At 37.3% G+C, this 19,815-nt stretch overlaps 1 protein-coding gene across 4 annotated transcripts in view; it reads left to right on the forward strand.

Moving 5' to 3' along the window:
• SRP72 (signal recognition particle 72) overlaps positions 1 to 19,815 on the forward strand; it is a 36,065-nt gene that overhangs the window by 3,530 nt on the left and 12,720 nt on the right. For 3 of the 4 annotated variants that reach the window (NR_151856.2, NM_006947.4, XM_024454192.2), the window contains exons 3-15: positions 574 to 697; positions 2,908 to 3,051; positions 3,134 to 3,245; positions 5,525 to 5,556; positions 7,233 to 7,357; positions 7,446 to 7,503; positions 11,993 to 12,124; positions 13,590 to 13,718; positions 15,179 to 15,251; positions 16,803 to 16,867; positions 18,242 to 18,337; positions 19,187 to 19,290; positions 19,422 to 19,499. Coding sequence is in view for 3 of the 4 variants with exons in the window: in NM_006947.4 (NP_008878.3) it covers positions 574 to 697; positions 2,908 to 3,051; positions 3,134 to 3,245; positions 5,525 to 5,556; positions 7,233 to 7,357; positions 7,446 to 7,503; positions 11,993 to 12,124; positions 13,590 to 13,718; positions 15,179 to 15,251; positions 16,803 to 16,867; positions 18,242 to 18,337; positions 19,187 to 19,290; positions 19,422 to 19,499 (1,272 nt within the window). In the remaining variant the exon portion in view is untranslated. The remainder of the gene's footprint in view (positions 1 to 573; positions 698 to 2,907; positions 3,052 to 3,133; positions 3,246 to 5,524; positions 5,557 to 7,232; positions 7,358 to 7,445; positions 7,504 to 11,992; positions 12,125 to 13,589; positions 13,719 to 15,178; positions 15,252 to 16,802; positions 16,868 to 18,241; positions 18,338 to 19,186; positions 19,291 to 19,421; positions 19,500 to 19,815) is intronic. The other variant, NM_001267722.2, reaches the window with a different exon arrangement.

Here is a 19,815-nt window from a genome sequence, read left to right on the forward strand (position 1 = left end):
TTTGCTTTGATAAATATTTTTCCTCATGGATTATGGTTGAAACATCAACAATGAGGTATCACATTAATGTAGATGAATTTTTAAGTGTGTGTATGTTAGTAGTGTTTACCAGTTGTTTGATTACAGGTACTTCTTTTAAGATTTCTAGTTACTGTTTCTTTGCTAATCATTTGTTTCTTAAACAAGTTTAAAGAAATATGGCTTATTGTTTTGTTAATGAATTTAAGAAACTTCTAAAACAACCCATTTAACATCCTTCAGATTATCTTTGTATCTAAGACAATTACTTATTTAGCAGATGAATGATTTCCTTCTTAAATGTTTATTTCAAAAGGCCAATAATTTTAATAACAATATCCATGAAAGAGAGGCTAGGGAAGTTGATATATGCTTAATTATATGTTTGATTGATATACATTTACAAGCTATCTGATATTTAGACAAGTCTCTAACCTTTGTCAGTTTTCTCATCTGTTATCAGGACTAAATCCAGTGTTTAGAGTGGTGTTGTATATAATGGGTGCATTGCATTGTTAGATAATAATCAGATACTGTTTTTTTTTCCTTCTTCAGTAACTCTCTCTCCTTTGAAAAGGCATATTGCGAGTACAGGCTGAACAGAATTGAGAATGCCTTGAAGACAATAGAAAGTGCCAACCAGCAGACAGACAAACTGAAGGAGCTTTATGGACAAGTGGTAATTACTGCTTTTAAATACATGTTGACAGTGATACTGAGTGAGCATGACTACCTCTAGCAAGGAGCAGGGTTGAGGAAACCCAGCCCATCCTGATGCTCCACAAAACTGACCACCAAACCAGTCCTTAAGGTTTGAACATAATTCCTCTTCTTGATCTTCATACAAACAGTTGCATATATAATGTGCTATGAACAAATGACTTCCTCAGGTAATCAGAAAATCAAAGAAAATGAACTAATCTGTTTAATTTTGACTTTTGAGTTAGAAAGATGAAGCACATTGAGCTTGTATATTAAACAGATTTGAAATACTATTTCACTAATATTTTACTCTAAGGATGTCATGATAGATAAGAATTTAGATGATTCTAGCCCATGAAATTGTGAAAATATTTTAAAGTATTTTGAGACATAAAATTAACCCTAATGTAAAATAGGGCTGTTAATGACAAGAGGACAGAAATGTGTATCTTACAGCTAGCAAAACCCTCTTAAAGTTTTTCTTTTTTTTTTTTTTTTTTTAATGGAGTCTCTCTGTTTCCCAGGCTGGAGTGCAGTGGCACTATCTCGGCTCACTGCAGCCTCTGACTCCCAGGTTCAAGCGATTCTCCTGCCTCAGCCTTCCAAGTAGCTGTGATTACAGGCATGTGCCAACTCGTGCAGCTAATTTTTATATTTTTTAGTAGAGATGGGGTTATGCCATGTTGCCTAGGCTCGTCTCAAACTCCCAGCATCAAGTGATTTGCCTGCCTTGACCTCCCAAAGTACTGGGATTACAGGTGTAAGCCACCATGCCTGGCCTCCTCTTAAAGACTTTTAAATGTCAATTTAGGGCAAATAATGTTGTATTGAATGTATTGTCCTCAGGAGGTAGTATGGATTTAATAATACAAATGAGTTGAAGATAGATTTGGACAAATTCATGGATTGTAGGTCTATAAAAAACTTTTAAGGTAAACTGGATAACTTTAGGGTAAATTCTAGCATTTTGAGGTTAAGGACATCAGCCTGTGTCATACATAATGGACTAATTGACCTAGAGTGGCAGTTGTTGTTCTTTGAGCACAACTTGAATGAAATCAGTAGGAATTCTATTGTGTCTGCTTGAGACTCACCTGTGTGATAGCTGGTTTCTGAGAAAGATAAAATGAAGATTATAGCGAACTCCTAGGAAACATTAAGTCTTTTTCTTAACATTTAATTTTGTTCCTATTTTAGTAATCATTTTGTGTTGTGGAAAAATATTTTCATTGTAATTTTAGATCTAGGTAACAGGGTTACCTAGACCTATAGAAAGGTGTTCTTTCACAACCTATTTAGGCACTTTACTAATTTCAAGAAGAAAGGTAAAGAAAATCACTTTTCGCACTTGGGGAGGCCAAGGCGGGCGGATCATGAGGTCAGGAGATCGAGACCATCCTGGCTAACATGATGAAACCCCATCTCTACTAAAAAATACAAAAAATTAGCCAGGTGTGGTGGCGGGCGCCTGGTCCCAGCTACTCGGGAGGCTGAGGCGGGAGAATGGCATGAACCTGGGAGGCGGAGCTTGCAGTGAGCCGAGATCGCGCCACTGCACTCCAGCCTGGGTGACAGAGCGAGACTCCATCTCAAAAAAAAAAAAAGAAAATCAGTTTTCTGGGTCGGGTGCGGTGGCTCACGCCTGTAATCCCAGCACTTTGGGAGGCTGAGGTGGGCGGATCACTTGAGGTTGGGAGTTTGAGACTAGCCTGACCATGGAGAAACCCCATCTCTACTAAAAATACAAAATTAGCCAGGCATGGTGGCGCACGTCTGTAATCTCAGCTACTCGGGAGGCTGAGGCAGGAGAATCTCTTGAACCAGGGAGGTGGAGGTTGCAGTGAGCCAAGATCGCGCCATTGCTCTCCAGTCTAGGCAACAAGAGCGAAACTCCGTCTCAAAAAAAAAAGAAAAAGAAAAGAAAGAAAATGACTTTTCTCAACTGAATCCTGCCTACAGAACCACAATATAGTGAAAATTCATTTTAAAAGTATTTTCAAAAAGTAATTTATTTGAAAGTATGACTAGTACATGGAACTATTTAAAAATTATAAAACATAAACAGTTGATTGTTCATGTTATGCTGAACTAGGATTCCTACTTAGTGGTTCCAAAAAAGGTTTGCATGATATTAAAGACATAACACCATATTTGTCTCTGATTTTTTACTTGCTATTTATTATTCAGTTATACCGTTTGGAACGCTATGATGAATGCTTAGCAGTGTATAGAGATCTCGTCCGAAACTCCCAAGATGATTATGATGAGGAGAGGAAAACAAACCTTTCAGCAGTTGTTGCAGCTCAAAGCAATTGGGAAAAAGTGGTTCCAGTGAGTATCCTTGTGGTGTACCCATACAGTCATGAATTATTATTCATATTTAGTATTTAACTGGTATTTTGTCCCCTGACAGGAGAACCTGGGCCTCCAAGAAGGCACACATGAGCTGTGCTACAACACTGCATGTGCACTGATAGGCCAAGGCCAGCTGAACCAGGCCATGAAAATCCTACAAAAAGCTGAAGGTTGGAAGTTTGTTAAACTTATCTGTAAATATAACGTGCATATAACTTTGTAGAGTATCTTCTAAAATTGCATTTGACTTCTGTGAAATTATTAAATGGAAGTTATTGATGCAGTGACAATTTCTCCAAGTTCCTGTCGTCTTTCTCTCTCTTTTTTTTTTTTATGGAGTGGGACAGAATCTTACCCTGTTGCCCAGGCTGGAGTACAATGGCACGATCTCGGCTCACTGCAACCTCTGTCTCCCGAGTTCAAGCAATTCTCCTGCCTCAGCCTCCCGAGTAGCTGGGATTATAGGTGCGCGTCACCACACCCAGCTAATTTTTGTATGTTTAGTAGAAATGGGGTTTCACCATATTGGCCAGGCTCATTTCACCCTCCGCCTCCCAGGTTCAAGCAATTCTTGTGCCTCAGCCTCCCAAGTAGCTGGGATCACAGGCGCATGCCAGAAATGCCCAACTAATTTTTGTATTTTCAGTAGAGATGGTTTTCGCCATGTTGGCCAGGCTAGTCTCAAATTCCTGTCGTCAAGTGATCTGCCTGCCTTGGCCTCCTAAAGTGCTGGGATTACAGCCGTGAGCCACTGTGCCCAGCTGAAGCTTTTAATTAAGAAAAAAATTAATTTATTAGAGAACTGTGTCAGGTATTAACGTGAACATTTTGACTTTGCTTGTGCATAAATTTTTCCCTGGAAGCTATAAAAGTGATGTAGGTACTGCAGTGATCACTGGGGTGGAAAAAAAGGTGAAACAAAGTCTGTTTTACTGTTAAATATTAGGGGTTAAAATGAGATCACAGTTTACTGTCAAATGTTGAAAGTTAAAATAAGAACAAAGGTTAGAGCCTCATGAGAAGAAAAATCTGTTTAAGAATTATAATTTTTTTGGCTGAGTGCAGTGGCTCACGCCTATAATCCCAGCACTTTTGGGAGGCCAAGGCAGGAGGATTGCTTGAGCCTAGCAGTTCAAGACCAGCCTGGGTAATATAGTAAGCCTTCGTTTTTACAAAAAAAAAATATATATGTGGCCGAGTGTGGTGGTACACACCTGTATTCCCAGCTACTCTGGTGGCTGAGGCAGCAGGGCCTAGGAGGGCCTAGGAGGTTGAGGCTCCAGTGAGCTGAAATCATACCACTGTATTCCAGCCTGGGTGACAGAGTGAGACGCTGTCTCAAAAAAAAAAAAAAAAAAGAATTATAATTTCCTGACCTCAAGTGACCCACCCACCTTGACCACCCGAAGTGCTGGGATTACAAGTGTGAGCCACTGCACCTGGCAGAATTATAATTTCTTGATCATACCCAATGAAGAACATTCTCATACATTGTGGGTTTGAATGTAAGAGTAATACAGACTTTTCAGTGAGCAGTTTGGTGATGTGTAGCAGATTTTAAATTTACCTACCCTTTGATCCAATAATTTCACTTCTAGAAACTTGAGGAAATGATTAGATAAATTTACGTATGTGTCTGTGTGAATGTTCATTGAAGGAATATTCATAAGAACAGAAATTTAGAAACAGCATAAAGTTCTGTACTATTAAAGGATTGGCTAAATTTTACCATAATCACAAAGTAATTACAGTCACTACAACCAATAACATTAAAAAAGATACAGTAATGTAGATCTATGTTTATTGTAACAAAGATATCCACAGGATATTGAATGGGGAAGGGAGGTTTCAAAATAGTATGCACCGTGTCTCACTTTCATTTTAAAATGCAGCTGTGCATTTACATAAAACTAAGCCAGGTATGGTGGCTCACAGCTATAGTCCCAGCTACTTGGGAGGCGGAGGTGGGAGGGTCACTTGAGCCCAGAATTTCAAGGCTGCAGTGAGCTATGATTAAGCCACTGCACTCCAGCCTGGGCAACAGAGTGAGACCTCCAACTTTAAAAACAAACAAAAAAAATATTAAAAAACTAAATAACTGAAATGCTAGTAGTGTTTATCTCTGGGTGGTAGGATTGTTTATTTTTATACTTTTCTATAATTGATTTTTCGCAATTAATATTTACTACATTTGTATTTTTTAATGCACTTTACAAATATTTTTAGCACAGACACAACAAATGAAAGCAAAGTGCCAAAGAGCTGGGAAAGTCAAGAGACTGATAATATATATGTAGTATATTTGATGCTAATGTAAATTTCACAACTGCTTGTTACTACGATTATCTTGGAATCTTCTGCTTAGGAATTTAGATCTTGCTCTTTGGAATAGTGAAAGAAATGGGATTTACCCAGCAATACTACTTTTAAAACAATTTTTCTCCTGTAGATCTTTGCCGCCGTTCATTATCAGAAGACACTGTAAGTATTCCATCATTGTTAAACCTAAATTTTACACTTCTGACTATGATAGATTACTGAGGCTTCATTGTACTATTTATTGACTTTTTTTAGAAGATGGCAATTCATTAAGTAGGAATCACACTAGAAACCACCCTCTAGTATCAGTTATTTGATGAAGTCTACTAGAGTGAGAAATCACAATACAAAAAATTTTGACATAACCTTAAGCACTTGATTATACATTTATATAATGTAAATTTATTCCCCCATTTTAGGATGTAGGACTAAGGTCTTTGAGGACTGGTCTGCTCCTAGGAGTTCCATGTATATTTCTTATGTAGTGACATAATTCAACATTCCCAATTTACACTTTTGGTTTTTCTTTTTAAGTGTAACAATATCTTAAATACAGTTGGTAAGCACTTCCATTATAGAGTCCTTATGTTTTTTTTTTGTTGTTTGTTTTTTACCAATCTCTTACCATTTTTTGGCTCACAACTAATTAGACAATAATTTTCTTTAGGAATTTACGTTTACCGTATCTTTCTGAGTATTCAACATGATTTACATTGAAATATGTCTCTTTTCACATTCATAGTTCTCTCTCTCTCTCTCTCTTTTTTTTTTTTTTTTTTTTTGAGACAGGATCTTGCTGTTTCACCCAGGCTGGATTGCTGTGATATGATCATAGGTCACTGTAACCTCAAACTCCTGGGCTCAAGCAATCCTCTCACCACAGCCTCCTGAGTAGCACCACCATGCCCAGCTAATTATTTTCTTCTTTGTAGAGATGGGGGTCTCGCTGTGTTGACAAGTTTGGCTTATCTCAAACTCCAGGCCTCAAGCGACCCTCCCACCTCAGCCTCCTAAAGCACTGAGATTACAGGCGTGAACCACCATGCCCAGCCCATAGTTCTTCTCTTTAATATTTTTAAGTTTTATCATTTCCTCATCAAACACAACTGCATAATGGGTTTGGAAACAAACATATCTGACTCCTGGTCAGCAGATACTCACCAGGTGAGAGCAGGAGTGTTGGGTCATTAAAGGACTGTTGTCTCCTAGTCTTGAGTATTCATTGTACAGCCTTTTCAGAAGGAAAGGAGAAATGTGGATTAATCTGGAGCATCGGTTAAGAGAGCTACTACTTTAATTACAGAATTTGTTCAATTACAGGATTAAAGTACAGAATTAGTTCCAGCTTTTGAAGTTTTTTTGTATGGTGTTAATTGGAATTTTCTAGTTTTTGAGGTAGAGTTATGGTAGAATAGAGAGAAAAGCATTTTTAAATGTGATTTTTATGAGAAAATTATGTTTCCAGAATTTAGGGATATCATTATAAAAAGATATACTTCCATGCTTGTTTTTTACTTACGTTTTTTAATTCTTGGGCTTTAGAGGATGATAATGATCAATAAATGGTAGTCCTAAACTTGTTACCATGTTCTTCTAGGATCTTTTTGCCTTTTCTTTTTTTTTTTTTTTTCTTTAGATACTTCTTAGAAGTTGAAGTCTTTTTGCTGTTTTCACTTAAACTTCTCTCTTGCTGGCTGTTTCTAAAGAACTGACTCTAAGGGAAAATTTCTGAAATTATGTGTCTTCAGGATTGTATCTCTTTTGAATGTTTGGGTCATTTGGAAAATATGTAGATCAGTTTGGAAAATTTATATGGGAAAAACATTTCTTTCTCTTAGGATGGGACTGAGGAAGACCCACAGGCAGAACTGGCCATCATTCATGGTCAGATGGCTTATATTCTGCAGCTTCAGGGTCGAACAGAGGAGGCTTTGCAACTTTACAATCAAATAATAAAACTAAAGTGAGTTATTAAAAGGAAGTGTCTTTTATAGGGGATGGGGTTCTTTTTAAAGGTTTGTTTGGTTTTGACTGTTGCTTGTTGTTCACAGACCAACAGATGTGGGATTACTAGCTGTAATTGCAAATAACATCATTACCATTAACAAGGTATGGAGTATTTGTGCTTTCCATAGATATATTTTACCCTGAAAGCTCATCACCCTAGTTTTAGTTTTGTTCTAGGATAGCCTAAGTGTTCTTTTTAACATGATGAAAAAAGTCCAGTTGTAGCAAAATCACAATGGATAGTATTACTTAACTCTCCTAATGATAATGATGCTGCAAGGTATACTCAAGTAATAAAACCTTTTGTAGTAGACCCTAGACTTTAAGATCCTCCCCTTTTCCCAGCATCTAATAGTATAGAGACTCTCTCTTTGTAAGAGATATAAATTATTGGGGCTTTTAAACTTTTAAGTATACGCATGTTTTATATGATTTCTTCGTCTATGGAATCTGAATGTGAAAGTGTTCTTTATATAATTTTCTCTCGGGTTTTCTTTTTTTAGGGGGTATGGACAGGTGCTCTTTCTTCTCCCCCACACCCCATCCCATGTAAAATACTATAAATATATATATAAGCACTCTTAACTTAGAGTACTGTACTAATGTCATTAGCCACCATTAGGAACACTCTTTTTTGTTTTGTTTTTTTTGAGACCGAGTCTCGCTCTGTCGCCCGGACTGGAGTGCAGTGACACGATCTCGGCTCACTGCAACCTCCGCCTCCCGCGTTCACGCCATTCTCCTGCCTCAGCCTCCCAAGTAGCTGGGACTACAGGCACCCGCCACCATGCCTGTCTAATTTTTCGTATTTTTAGTAGAGACGGGGTTTCACCATGTTAGCCAGGATGTTCTCATTCTCCCGACCTCGTGATCCGCCCACCTCAGCCTCCCAAAGTGCTGGGATTACAGGCGTGAGCCACCGTGCCCGGCCAGGAACACTCTAATGGAAAAAGCTTTATTTTTCTTTCTTTCTTTTTTTTTTTTTTTTTGAGACTGTCACCCAGGCTGGAGGGCAGTGGTGCAGACATGACTCACTATAGCCCCAGACAGTCCTCCCAAGTACCTGGGACCACAGGTACACACCACCATGCCCGGCTAATTTAAAAAAAAATTTGTAGAGACAGAGTCTTGCCATGTTGCCCAGGCTGGTCTTTAAACTCCTGGGCTCAACAAATCCTCCTGCCTCAGCCTCCCAAATTGCTGGGATTCCAGGGGTGAGCGACCACACCCAGCCTGGAAAAACATTTCAAGGTCACAATTGAAATCCAAGTCAGTGGAAAGTAAGAAAAGTAACATTTGAACATACAATTTATCTTGATATACCATGTGATTTTTCAAGTACCACCTTATTTCTTCCTCTCAATAATCTTTTTAGGTGGTAGTCCTTATCTCTGTAGGAGTATAATCTGAGACTAAAAGTAGTTAAGTAATTTGTATAAGGTCATAGCCTACTTCATAAGAGGAAAAACTTGGATTCAGATTCTAGTTTCTGACTTCAAAGCTTTCCCCTTCTACTACTTAGTGGTTCTTCTCTCCTGTGGCAGAAATGTAGTGTATCTTTGGATGTAGATAATGGCATTAAAAGGGGTAGTAATCATGGGAGGTTGCTGTTGGCCATTGGTATGGTATAGATTTCCAAACATTGATACTAGCCTTTGAATCTTGGCAAAAATATATACCTGCCTATGTTTATGAATTTTGAAATGCTTGTCAGGACAAATTTTTTTTTCCCCCAAGATGGAGTCTCTGTTGCCCAGGCTGGAGTGCAGTGGCACAATCTCGGCTTACTGCAGCCTCCACCTCCCGGGTTCAAGTGATTCTCATGCCTCAGCCACCCGAGTAGCTGGGACTACAGTCACGTGCCACCACACCCGGCTAATTTTTGTATTTTTAGTAGAGATGGGGTTTCACCATGTTGGGCAGGCTGGTCTCAAACTCCTGATCTCAAGTGATCCTCCTGCCTCAGCCTCCCAAAGTGTTGGGATTATAGGCATGAGCCACCACACCCAGCCAGGACAAATTCTTTTTATCTGACATACATAATTGTAGGGGAAGAGAGCATGTGAGATACTAAATATCTCAGTCTGAACATAACTTATACACTGAACTTTCTTTAGTCAGTGGGTATTTCTGACTTTTTCAAAATAGTACTGGATGCAATAGGTAATGAAAAATACAAAGCATCATCACATAGTTTAAAATCTCTTTCTGGTGTTGAAAAAAATTGTTCATGTTTAAATTTTTTGTCCGTATACTTTATAACTATATATTTAATACTACATTTGGTGAACGGAAGGATCTCTGGTTTGGCAAGTTTGAGCTGACCCTTGAAGGAGGACTGTGGTTTGAAGGTTAAGCAACAGCACAAAAAAAAGTACATATGAAGAAATATTTATGATTTGTAGGGGAAAAGTGAGAACACAGAAGAGGGTATGTATTTGCTGGATAGTTTAAAAAGTAGATTAGATTGAACTATATCAGGGCCTTGGAAATCAAGTTTAAGAAAAGTCTGGCAGTGACGTGCACAATTAATTGAAGTATTAAAATTGCGACATGAGAGAACCAGCTAGAAAATACGGTTTCTTTAGGATTGATTTATATGAAAGGCAGTTTCTTGCTGTACATTAAAGTAGTTTCAAATTGGTTTGGAGCTCGACAGTAAGAAAAAGTAGAATTTATTTTAGATTTTTTTCGCTTCCTTTTTGTCTTTAAACTGGTAGAAGACCTGGTTTAAAAAAGCACAGTGGTATCATGTATTTGCAAGTAAATACATTGTTTTACAAAGCTAGAGTATTGTGCACAAAGTAGATACTCACATGCTCAGTTTGTGCTTCTCAGGATGCAATCAGTGTGACTTAGTTTTCTCCCTTTTTTTGGAGATGTATGTGACTTTCAATAATTCTTAATAGGACTTTCTTTGGGCAGATAACACTGTGCCCCCACATGGGAATTTTAGAAATTGAGCTTCTTTATGCTTTTGCTTGGCTAAGAAGAAGGGGCTTTAGGAAAGGAAAAACAGTAGATATGTTACATGAGTATTTTCTGCTAAAAAAAAAATGGGTTCAAAAGTGGTACAGATATGTTTCTGAGGTTTCATGATTGCCTTACAGAGTCACTACAGGCATACCTCATTTTATTGTGCTTTACTTTATTACACTTTGTAAGTTTTTCACATATTGAAGGTTTGTGGCAACTCTGTGTTGAGCATATCTGTTGGCTCCTTTTTTTTTTTTTTTTTTTTTAAGATGGAGTCTCGCTCTCTTGCCCAGGCTGGAGTGCAGTGGTGGGATCTCAGCTCACTGCAACCTCCCAGGTTCAAGCAGTGCTCCTGCCTCAGCCTTCTGAGTAGCTGGGACTAGCGTGTGCCACCACACCCAGCTAATTTTTGTATTTTTAGTAGAGATGGGGGTTTCACCATGTTGGCCAGGCTGGTCCCGAACTCCTGGCCTCAGGTGATCCACCCACCTCTGCCTTCCAAAGTGCTGGGATTACAGGCGTGAGCCACTGTGCCTGGCCATGGTGGTATCATTTTTTTAACAGCATGTGTCCATTTCATATCTCTGTATCAGTATTTTTTAGCATTGAAGTATTTTTAAATAAAGGTATGTACTGGGCCGGGCACAGTGGCTCACGCCTGTAATCCCAGGACTTTGGGAGGCCTAGGTGGGCGAATCACGAGGTCAGAAGATCGAGACCATCCTGGCTAACACGGTGAAACCCCATCTCTACTAAAAATACAAAAAAAAAAAAATTAGCCAGGCATGGTGGCGGGCACCTGTAGTCCCAGCTACTCGGGAGACTGAGGCAGGAGAATGGCGTGAACCCGTGAGGCGGAGCTGGTAGTGAGCTGAGACTGTGCCACTGCTCTCCAGCCTGGGTGACAGAGCGAGACTCCATCTCAAAAAAAAAAAAGGTATGTACTTGTTTTCAGACATAATGCTGTTGCACACTTAATAGACAACAATATAGTGTAAACATAGCTTTTATATGCACTGGGAAACCAAAAAATCTGTGACTCCTTCTATTGTAATATTTGCTTTATTGCGGTAGTCTGGAACCAAACACGAAATATCTCCAAGATATTTCTGTATTTTGAAGAGGAGTGAGTTACTTTTTATTTATCATCTAAATTCTAGAGGGCATAGCTTGTAGAAATTGCCAAGTTAGGTATTTTTGTAGTCCTAATACACTTCAATTTGTGCTGTCCCTTTTTTTCCTTCAAAAAGCTCAAAACAAGCAATTAATAGTGGAAAAATAAAACAAATCTTGTTCTCCATTTCTTTAAAGCAGTTCACTTGTTAAGCCTTTTTATACCTAGGAAGCCTCCTTTGAGAAGGCTTTAAAAGGAGTGGGGGTAGATTCTGGGATAACTATATGTACATGAGTAGATTTGAATTGCAGAGATTCAAAAAGAGTAGATTTGAATTACTTCTGTGAATCAGGATAAATTTATATGCATCTTATTAGCTTAGGCACCCCAATCAGGTAGATAGATTCAAGCTCTCCTGCTGTATCTATATAAAGTTAATAGAAAAAGGAATAAGTTGAAATCTGAGATTCTGTTAATGATAGATAAACTTTTCTTTGTTAGGACCAAAATGTCTTTGACTCCAAGAAGAAAGTGAAATTAACCAATGCGGAAGGAGTAGAGTTTAAGCTTTCCAAGAAACAACTACAAGCTATAGAATTTAACAAAGCTTTACTTGCTATGTACACAAACCAGGTGGGTAATTACCTTTGGTGTCATGGCTAAACCTTTTGTAATATGGTATATGAGGAGTAATAGGGATATTAGTCTAATCTTTTTATAGTTTTTGTTTGTATTTTGTCTTCAACTCATAAATATATTTTTTTGCCTTCCTCAAAATATTATATATATTATTGGCTGGGCACAATGGCTCATGCCTGTAATCCTAGCACTTTGGGAGGTTGAAGTGGGCGGAATGCCTGAGTTCAAGAGTTCGAGACCAGCCTGAGCAACATGGTGAAACCCTGTCTCTACATGGTGGTGTATGCCTGTAGTCCCAGCTACTCTGGAGACTGAGGCACAAGAATTGTTTGCAGTGAGCTGAGATTGTGCCACTTCACTCCAGCCTGGGCAACAGAGAGAGACTGTCTCCAAAAAGAAAAAAAAAAAAGAAAGAATATTATGTGTCATAGATTTTATTTATTAAACAAGTAATTTGCCCAATTTCTTATAAGGGTGTAGGGTTGACACCTTTTAAGGGGAAGAAAACAGTATTCACACCTTTAAATGAGATAACTTTCTCATTACCTTATTTCTAATCTGAATTAAGATAAAATCATCAAAGATGCTAGCCATGATTATAGATTTAAGACCCATCTTTCATTTTTGCTGTGTATAATCACATCAAGTTATAAATGTTAAGGAAGTCAATTCTAACTCCAGTAAGCATTCTAATTCTAATTTTATACTGTTTTAGAGCAGAAGTTTTAGTGGGAGACAGAGAAGCAGTAATTTTTTTTTTTTTTTTTTTTTTTTTGAGATGGAGTCTCGCTCTGTCGCCCAGGCTGGAGTGCAGTGGTGCCATCTCGGCTCGCTGCAACCTCTGCCTCCTGGGTTCACGCTATTCTCCTGCCTCACCCTCCCGAGTAGCTGGGACTACAGGCGCCCAGCACCACGCCTGGCTAATTTACTTGTATTTTTAGTAGAGACGGGGTTTCACCATGTTAGCCAGGATGGTCTTGATCTCCTGACCTCGTGATCTGCCCACCTCAGCCTCTCAAAGTCCTGGGATTACAGGCATGAGCCACCACGCCCGGCCGAGAGACAGTAATGTTTTTATTATTTAGAACTGAGTCAAGTTATTCTTAATAATGTAGCAAAAAATACATATATGCATTTTGTTGTTTTTGAAGCAAATGCTTATATTTGATGTGTTTGATTTTTTTAAACAGTTCTAGAATTTAGGCATCCAAGTGAATGTTTAGAATTTCTCCTTTACTAAAGACTCTTAGAGCTCATAGATTAAATTCAATAAATGGAAACCATTTTCTTACAAGAAAAAATTGAGAATAGATACTGTAAACTGATTCTCTTACCCTAGGCAGTTCTTTGGTTAATATTTGTTTCAACTGATTTTCCCATGTTTCTTTTCTTTCTGGTCATTTAGTGTTTAATTTCATTAACCAGTTTATTTTTCTTGTGGGGGTTGGATATCTTCTAGGCTGAACAATGCCGCAAAATATCTGCCAGTTTACAGTCCCAAAGTCCCGAGCATCTCTTACCTGTGTTAATCCAAGCTGCCCAGCTCTGCCGTGAAAAGCAGCACACAAAAGCAATAGAGCTGCTTCAGGTAAAATAATTACTTGAATGAGGTGTCAGACATTTGCAGCTTTGTTTCATTTTCATTGTGTTGTAATAACCTACTAGCATGTAAATTTAATGGGAAAACTAATCAGAAATGTACCACTACACAAATTTCATTGTCATTTTAGTTAACTCTTGGGTTACAGAGCTTTATATAAATTTCTTTGTGTTATATAAATTTCTATAATGTAAATATTTGTTATAAATGCTGAAGAATGCTGTTTTGTTTGGAGATCTGTTTAACCTGAGTTAGGGGATCATTTAGGCATGTATAATTCCAGAACATACTTAACCTCTTTTGCAATAATCTGATCTCCAGTGAGTTCTACTCCAGAACCTCAATTATGGAGATACTGACTTTGTTTTTATCAACCCAAACCAGCTATTATATTGCATATTTAAATTTCTTGAATATAAACTACATTGGAAAGTTGGACAGGTACAATTAGGATCATCCTGACAGACAAAATTGCCTAACAGGGACACTCAGTGAAGAGACACCGCCCCTTCTCTCCCCACAGCAAAAAAAAAAAAAAAAAAAAATCTATTTAGTAATCTTTATTATAGTTGACCCTTTGTATTCTTGAGTTTTGCATCCAAGAATTCAACCAGCCATGGATTAAAAACATTTTGTGGGGGTCGCCAGGCGTAGTGGCTGACGTCTGTAATCCCAGCACTTTGGGAGGCCCAATCAGGCAGATCATCTGAGGTCAGGAGTTCAAGACCAGCCTGGCCAACATGTTGAAACCCCATCTCTACTAAAAATACAAAAAATTAGCCTGGCATGGTGGCGCATTCCTGTAATTCCAACTACGTGGGAGGCTGAGGCAGGAGAATCACTTGAACCTGGCAGGCGGAGTTGCAGTGAGCCGAGATCACGCCACTGCACTCCAGCCTGGGTGACAGAGCAAGACTCCGCCTCAGAAAAAAAAAGCACATTTTGAGGTTGGAAATGTATGACTGCCTCTGTACTGAACATATACAAACTTTAAAAATCATTACTCCCTAGATAATATAACAACTATACACATAGGATTTACATTGTATTAGGTATTATAAGTAACCTAGCAATGATTTAAAATGTATAGGAGCATGTATGTAGGTTATACGCAAATACTATACTTTTATATAAGGGACTTGAGCATCCTTGGGTTTTGGAATCGGGGGTGGTTCTGGAAGTAATACCCTGTGGCTGAGGGATGATGGATTTCTCTGTTAGTGACTTACAGAAAACTTGACTTCATTGCACTTACTTTTAGAGCATACCTTTAAGAAAAAAAGTGAGTGTTGAATAAAAATTTCCCCAAGTTAAGATTTTGACCTGCAGCCAGAAGTTTAATGTTTTAAAACTGGATTTAAAATCTTATGTAGCTAAGTAATTGTAATGTATACAATTAGTTGTGTAAATTAAATGTGATTTTTTTCCCCCAAACTAAAAAAATTTAGGAATTTTCAGATCAGCATCCAGAAAATGCAGCTGAAATTAAGCTGACCATGGCACAGTTGAAAATTTCTCAAGGTATTATGGTTTTCATCATGATTAAAATATTTTAATGAAAACATGTTTGGAATGATTAAGCAGTTGTGAACTATGTGATTTTAAGTTTTTTTGTGTAATAGTAAAGCATAATAATTACTGTTTCAAACATGCAGCTAGATTGTATGATCTCCAACAGATTTAGTAGTGAGGTAGTTGCCCCTTTTCGTGGATTATTCCTAAATTATTAGAATGATTCTTAATCTATGCCTTGAAAGTTCTGAAGCAAAGGATTCCTCTCTTCCAAAAGACCATACATACTACTCAAATTGCCTGAGTATGTCACATGCAGAAATGCTTATGTCCGTCACTTGGTAATATTTGTACGACTACTTTGCATCATAGTTTTCAGAATTTCTTAGCTTGGCCCTTCATCCTTACTTCATTTTACACTTTGCCACCTATGTCTTTGGGCTTGGGGAAAGGTAATAGAATTTAACGAGAACTGATGTGTTTGAATCTTAAAACTGCCAATGTTTTTGTCTGTGGTTTTCATCTAACTTTGAATATCTAGAGCCATGTTGCCCAGTTTGGTAGTCACTAGCCACATACAGCTATTTTAAGTTTAAATTAGTTAAATGAAATTTTAAATTCAGTTCTTTGATTATGCTAGCCACATCTTAGAAGCTTAGTAGCTATATGCAGCCATTGGCTACAATATTGGACAGCACAGATATAGGACATTTATATCATCACAAAAAGTTCTGTCGAACAGCTCTGGTATAGAATGTGGATTTTCAATGGTGGTGACAATTCTTCACAAAAATCTTAAATATTACAGTGGCTGAAATGAAAATTTTATGAGTTGAAGGAGGGGAGTTGGCAGTTAGGGAAAAAATGTTTAAAATGTCCTTAGTAGGGCAATAATGAAAATAAGGTTGAGACACACTGCTGATCTCCCTCTTATCCAATTCTCACATTTCTTTGCTTTCCTTGTCTCTTTTTCCTTCTCCTCAGCCCTGTCTTCTCTTCCTTGCCCTTTACTTGATCTTTCCTCCTATGTTTAGTTTATTTTTTCAAGGATTATTTATTATCTTGAAATTACTGACAATCTGTCATGGTTTTTTGTTTGTTTTTAAAGACTGGGAATTTTGAGTTATTGAGGTTTGCAGTGAATACAAAATCAGAATTTAACACCATAGGAAATTTTCCATTGCACTCATGTCTACAGTAACATATTTCAAGGCCTTTAGGGAAGGACCCCCACCTTCAAGTTACAGCCCAAAAAAGAAGAAATAGAACTCAACAGACTGGGAGCTGGGAGACTTCTTTTCTGGTAGCAGCTCTGCCATTAACTTTCTTTGTGAGCTTAAGCAAGGTATATTATTTCTTTAGAACTCAATTTCCTTATCTCTAAATGAACAGAGTTCACCATCCCCAAGACCCCAAAGTTTATATGTTTAGCGATGTTACAAAACATGAGTTATGGTTGCTTTCCTAAGGAAAAGTAGTGGGAGGAAGTAAAATTTCTTGTATTTTTTTTTCATAATATGTGTTCTTCTATGTAATGCTGATTTTGTTTATTCTCCTAAGGTAATATTTCTAAAGCATGTCTAATATTGAGAAGCATAGAGGAGTTAAAGCATAAACCAGGCATGGTGAGTTTTAAAAATTACAAAATTGAAAAGTAGTTGAATTGATAATTTGTATGTCTAATGTGTATTCACTTTATTTATATGTCGAATGTGTATTCACTTTAAGGTAGGAGTAGTAATTATAATAGTAATAGTTGTCTGGTATAAATTTAATTTCATTCTCTGCTCTGGTATTGGTTTCTTATTCAGTCAAATGTGCCAGGCACTATTTAGGCCTTATAGTATCACTGAAAACCAACCTCAAATAATCTCAGATCTGTATAGGAATTTCTTAGCCTATATCATTTTCGTCAGTGTGATTTCTTTAAATTAGAACAATTTCATAATTGTGGCCAACAAATTTAGTTTTTAGTTTTCTGATTATTCAAATATTGCAGGTTTCAATCATTAATACAGCTGTGAAAGCATCTTTTCCATAGTAGAAACTAATTCTGTAGTGGTAGTATGTGCATCTTTTGGACAGGGGCTGTTTTATTCATGTTTGCATTCTCATGGCCTCTGTGCAGTTGGCACTCAGTAAATGTAATATGGTAGTGCTTTCCCTTAAAGATTCATATTTTAAGGATCGTGCTATAATTACTTTACCTTAGAGTCAAATACAGTATATGACTGAAAATAAAATGTTTCTAATATTTAATATATGACCACCTTTTACCTTTCAAGGAATGTATCCATTTCATTTAGGTTGCTGACTTTATTGGCATAAAAGTTCTTCATTTTATTTCTTTATTGTCCTTTTAATATCTATAGAACCTCTCTCATTCCTGATATTGGTTATTCATGTATTTTTTTCTTTTTCCCTCTGATTAGCCTGTCCAGAGGTTTATCAGTTTTACTGATTGTTCTTAAAGATCCAGCTTTTTGTTTGTTTCCTTTCTATCCTCATCTCCTACTGCTCAGCATCCCCCTCCCCCTCCACTCCAGCTATGTAGGCCTCCTTCCTGTCCCTCAGCCACACCAGGCACCCTTTTTACTGGCTTCAAACAGCTCATGCCACATGGGATTCATCATGAGAGTTCAGCCGCTCTATGTATGCCTCACTGATCATACACTTAAATGTCCAGCAGTGTCTTATTGTAGAAACATTTCTAAGGGCTTATTCTCAACTTCTGTACTTACCAAACCATTTGTGAACTGGCACTGCTTTAAAGGAAAGTTTTATTTTACAGATATCTACCTTCATATTTGGAAAACACGGTTGTTCATGGTATTTCTAGAAGTAAAGTTAACTATGTTCTCTAAAGGGAGTAGCTTTTATGATAAATCAGGTATTAGCGGAGAGCCTTTATTTGCTATTTCTTCAGCGTTTTTTATTTTCAAAAGCGGTATTCTGGGAGTGAAGGGGGAGTTCACTAATTTATACCTTTGGCTGTGTAGGTATCTGCATTAGTTACCATGTATAGCCATGAAGAAGATATTGATAGTGCCATTGAGGTCTTCACACAAGCTATCCAGTGGTATCAAAACCATCAGGTAAATAAATGGAGTAAAATGTTATGAGAGCATGTTTTTACATAAAAATAAAGATGGAGTAGTGAAAAAATTCAGGCAAACAAGTATTACACGTCACTATTTTAAAAGTGGAATACTATTTAGATTATCAAATGCATTTTTTTAGTATACCAGATCCAAATTAAGTTATTAGAAATAAGCAATGGCTGCAAAATAGAAAAATAGCACATTTATATTTATTGAAGCTCCTTGCTGTATGTGTACATGCATTTGTGTATGTAATCTCAAGAAATAATAATAGTACATGATTGCATATTTAAGAGATCGTCTTAAATGGCTAGAGAGCCCATGGGTGGTAGTAATTAGTACAACAGTAATACATGGAATAGTTGTTTATCATGTCTCTATCTAGTAGGAATATCTTAATTTCCAGTATGGATCTCTGCATGGGCAGTATCCAACTTAAAATTATACATACGCTGTGCAGGTGGCATTTATACTGTTAGTACTGTTAGCAGTGGAGGGGTATCAGTGCTCTGGGAAAGTATTATATTAAATTAATGTTTGAGAACTATGGTGGCATATCTTTAAGATTTGATTATTATAGGGGAATGTTTCCAGTTGTAGACACTAAATAGATATAGGTTGTTTTCCAGATTCATCAATTGGTGATTACTTGTACAATTAATAATTTGTCCACCTGCTTTCCTCTACATGTGTGGATGATTTTGTTGTTTCAGGCATTCAGTGAAACTTAAGATGAGGGATCTAATGCATAGGTGTATTTCTTAAAGGTCTAATGAATATAACTGCATGCACTTGCTAGATATTTAACTTGAAACTTTTTTTTTCTTTTTATTGAAACTGTAGCCAAAATCTCCTGCTCATTTGTCCTTGATAAGAGAAGCTGCAAACTTCAAACTCAAATATGGGCGGAAGAAGGAGGCAATTAGTGACCTACAACAGCTGTGGAAGTAAGCTCTGAAACGTGGAGTTGTAGAAATAACACATTTATTGTTGCTACTTGATATGAGGGAGTTACTTGTTTATATTACTTTCTCCAGTTTTATAAACAGTTCAATAATTTTCTTATTTCTTCTTTTAGACAAAATCCAAAAGATATTCACACCCTGGCACAGCTTATTTCTGCTTACTCACTTGTAGATCCAGAGAAAGCCAAAGCGTATCCTTTTGATTGTTATTCCTTACAGCTCCTCAGTAGCACAATAGATCTCTTCTGATATCTGTGTTTTGACCAGAGCTTTTTCAATTGTAAACTGCAACTAACAAATCCTCCTTTTAACTAGTAAAACCAAAAAATGAGAATTTATTGATCAGTGTGACTGAAAAATGCGGCGATAGATCCAACTTAGGGTTCAGTTTCATCCAGAAGCAAAAATGAAGTCAAAAGGGTATGGCCTCTTTTCCTCCAGGTTCAAGATCAGCAGCAAGGTAAAGAAAAAGCATATTTTATGTGGGTACTTTTGCATGATTCTGAA

The sequence above is a fragment of the Homo sapiens genome, chromosome 4 (assembly GCF_000001405.40).
Source record: "Homo sapiens chromosome 4, GRCh38.p14 Primary Assembly".
NCBI lineage: Eukaryota > Metazoa > Chordata > Mammalia > Primates > Hominidae > Homo > Homo sapiens.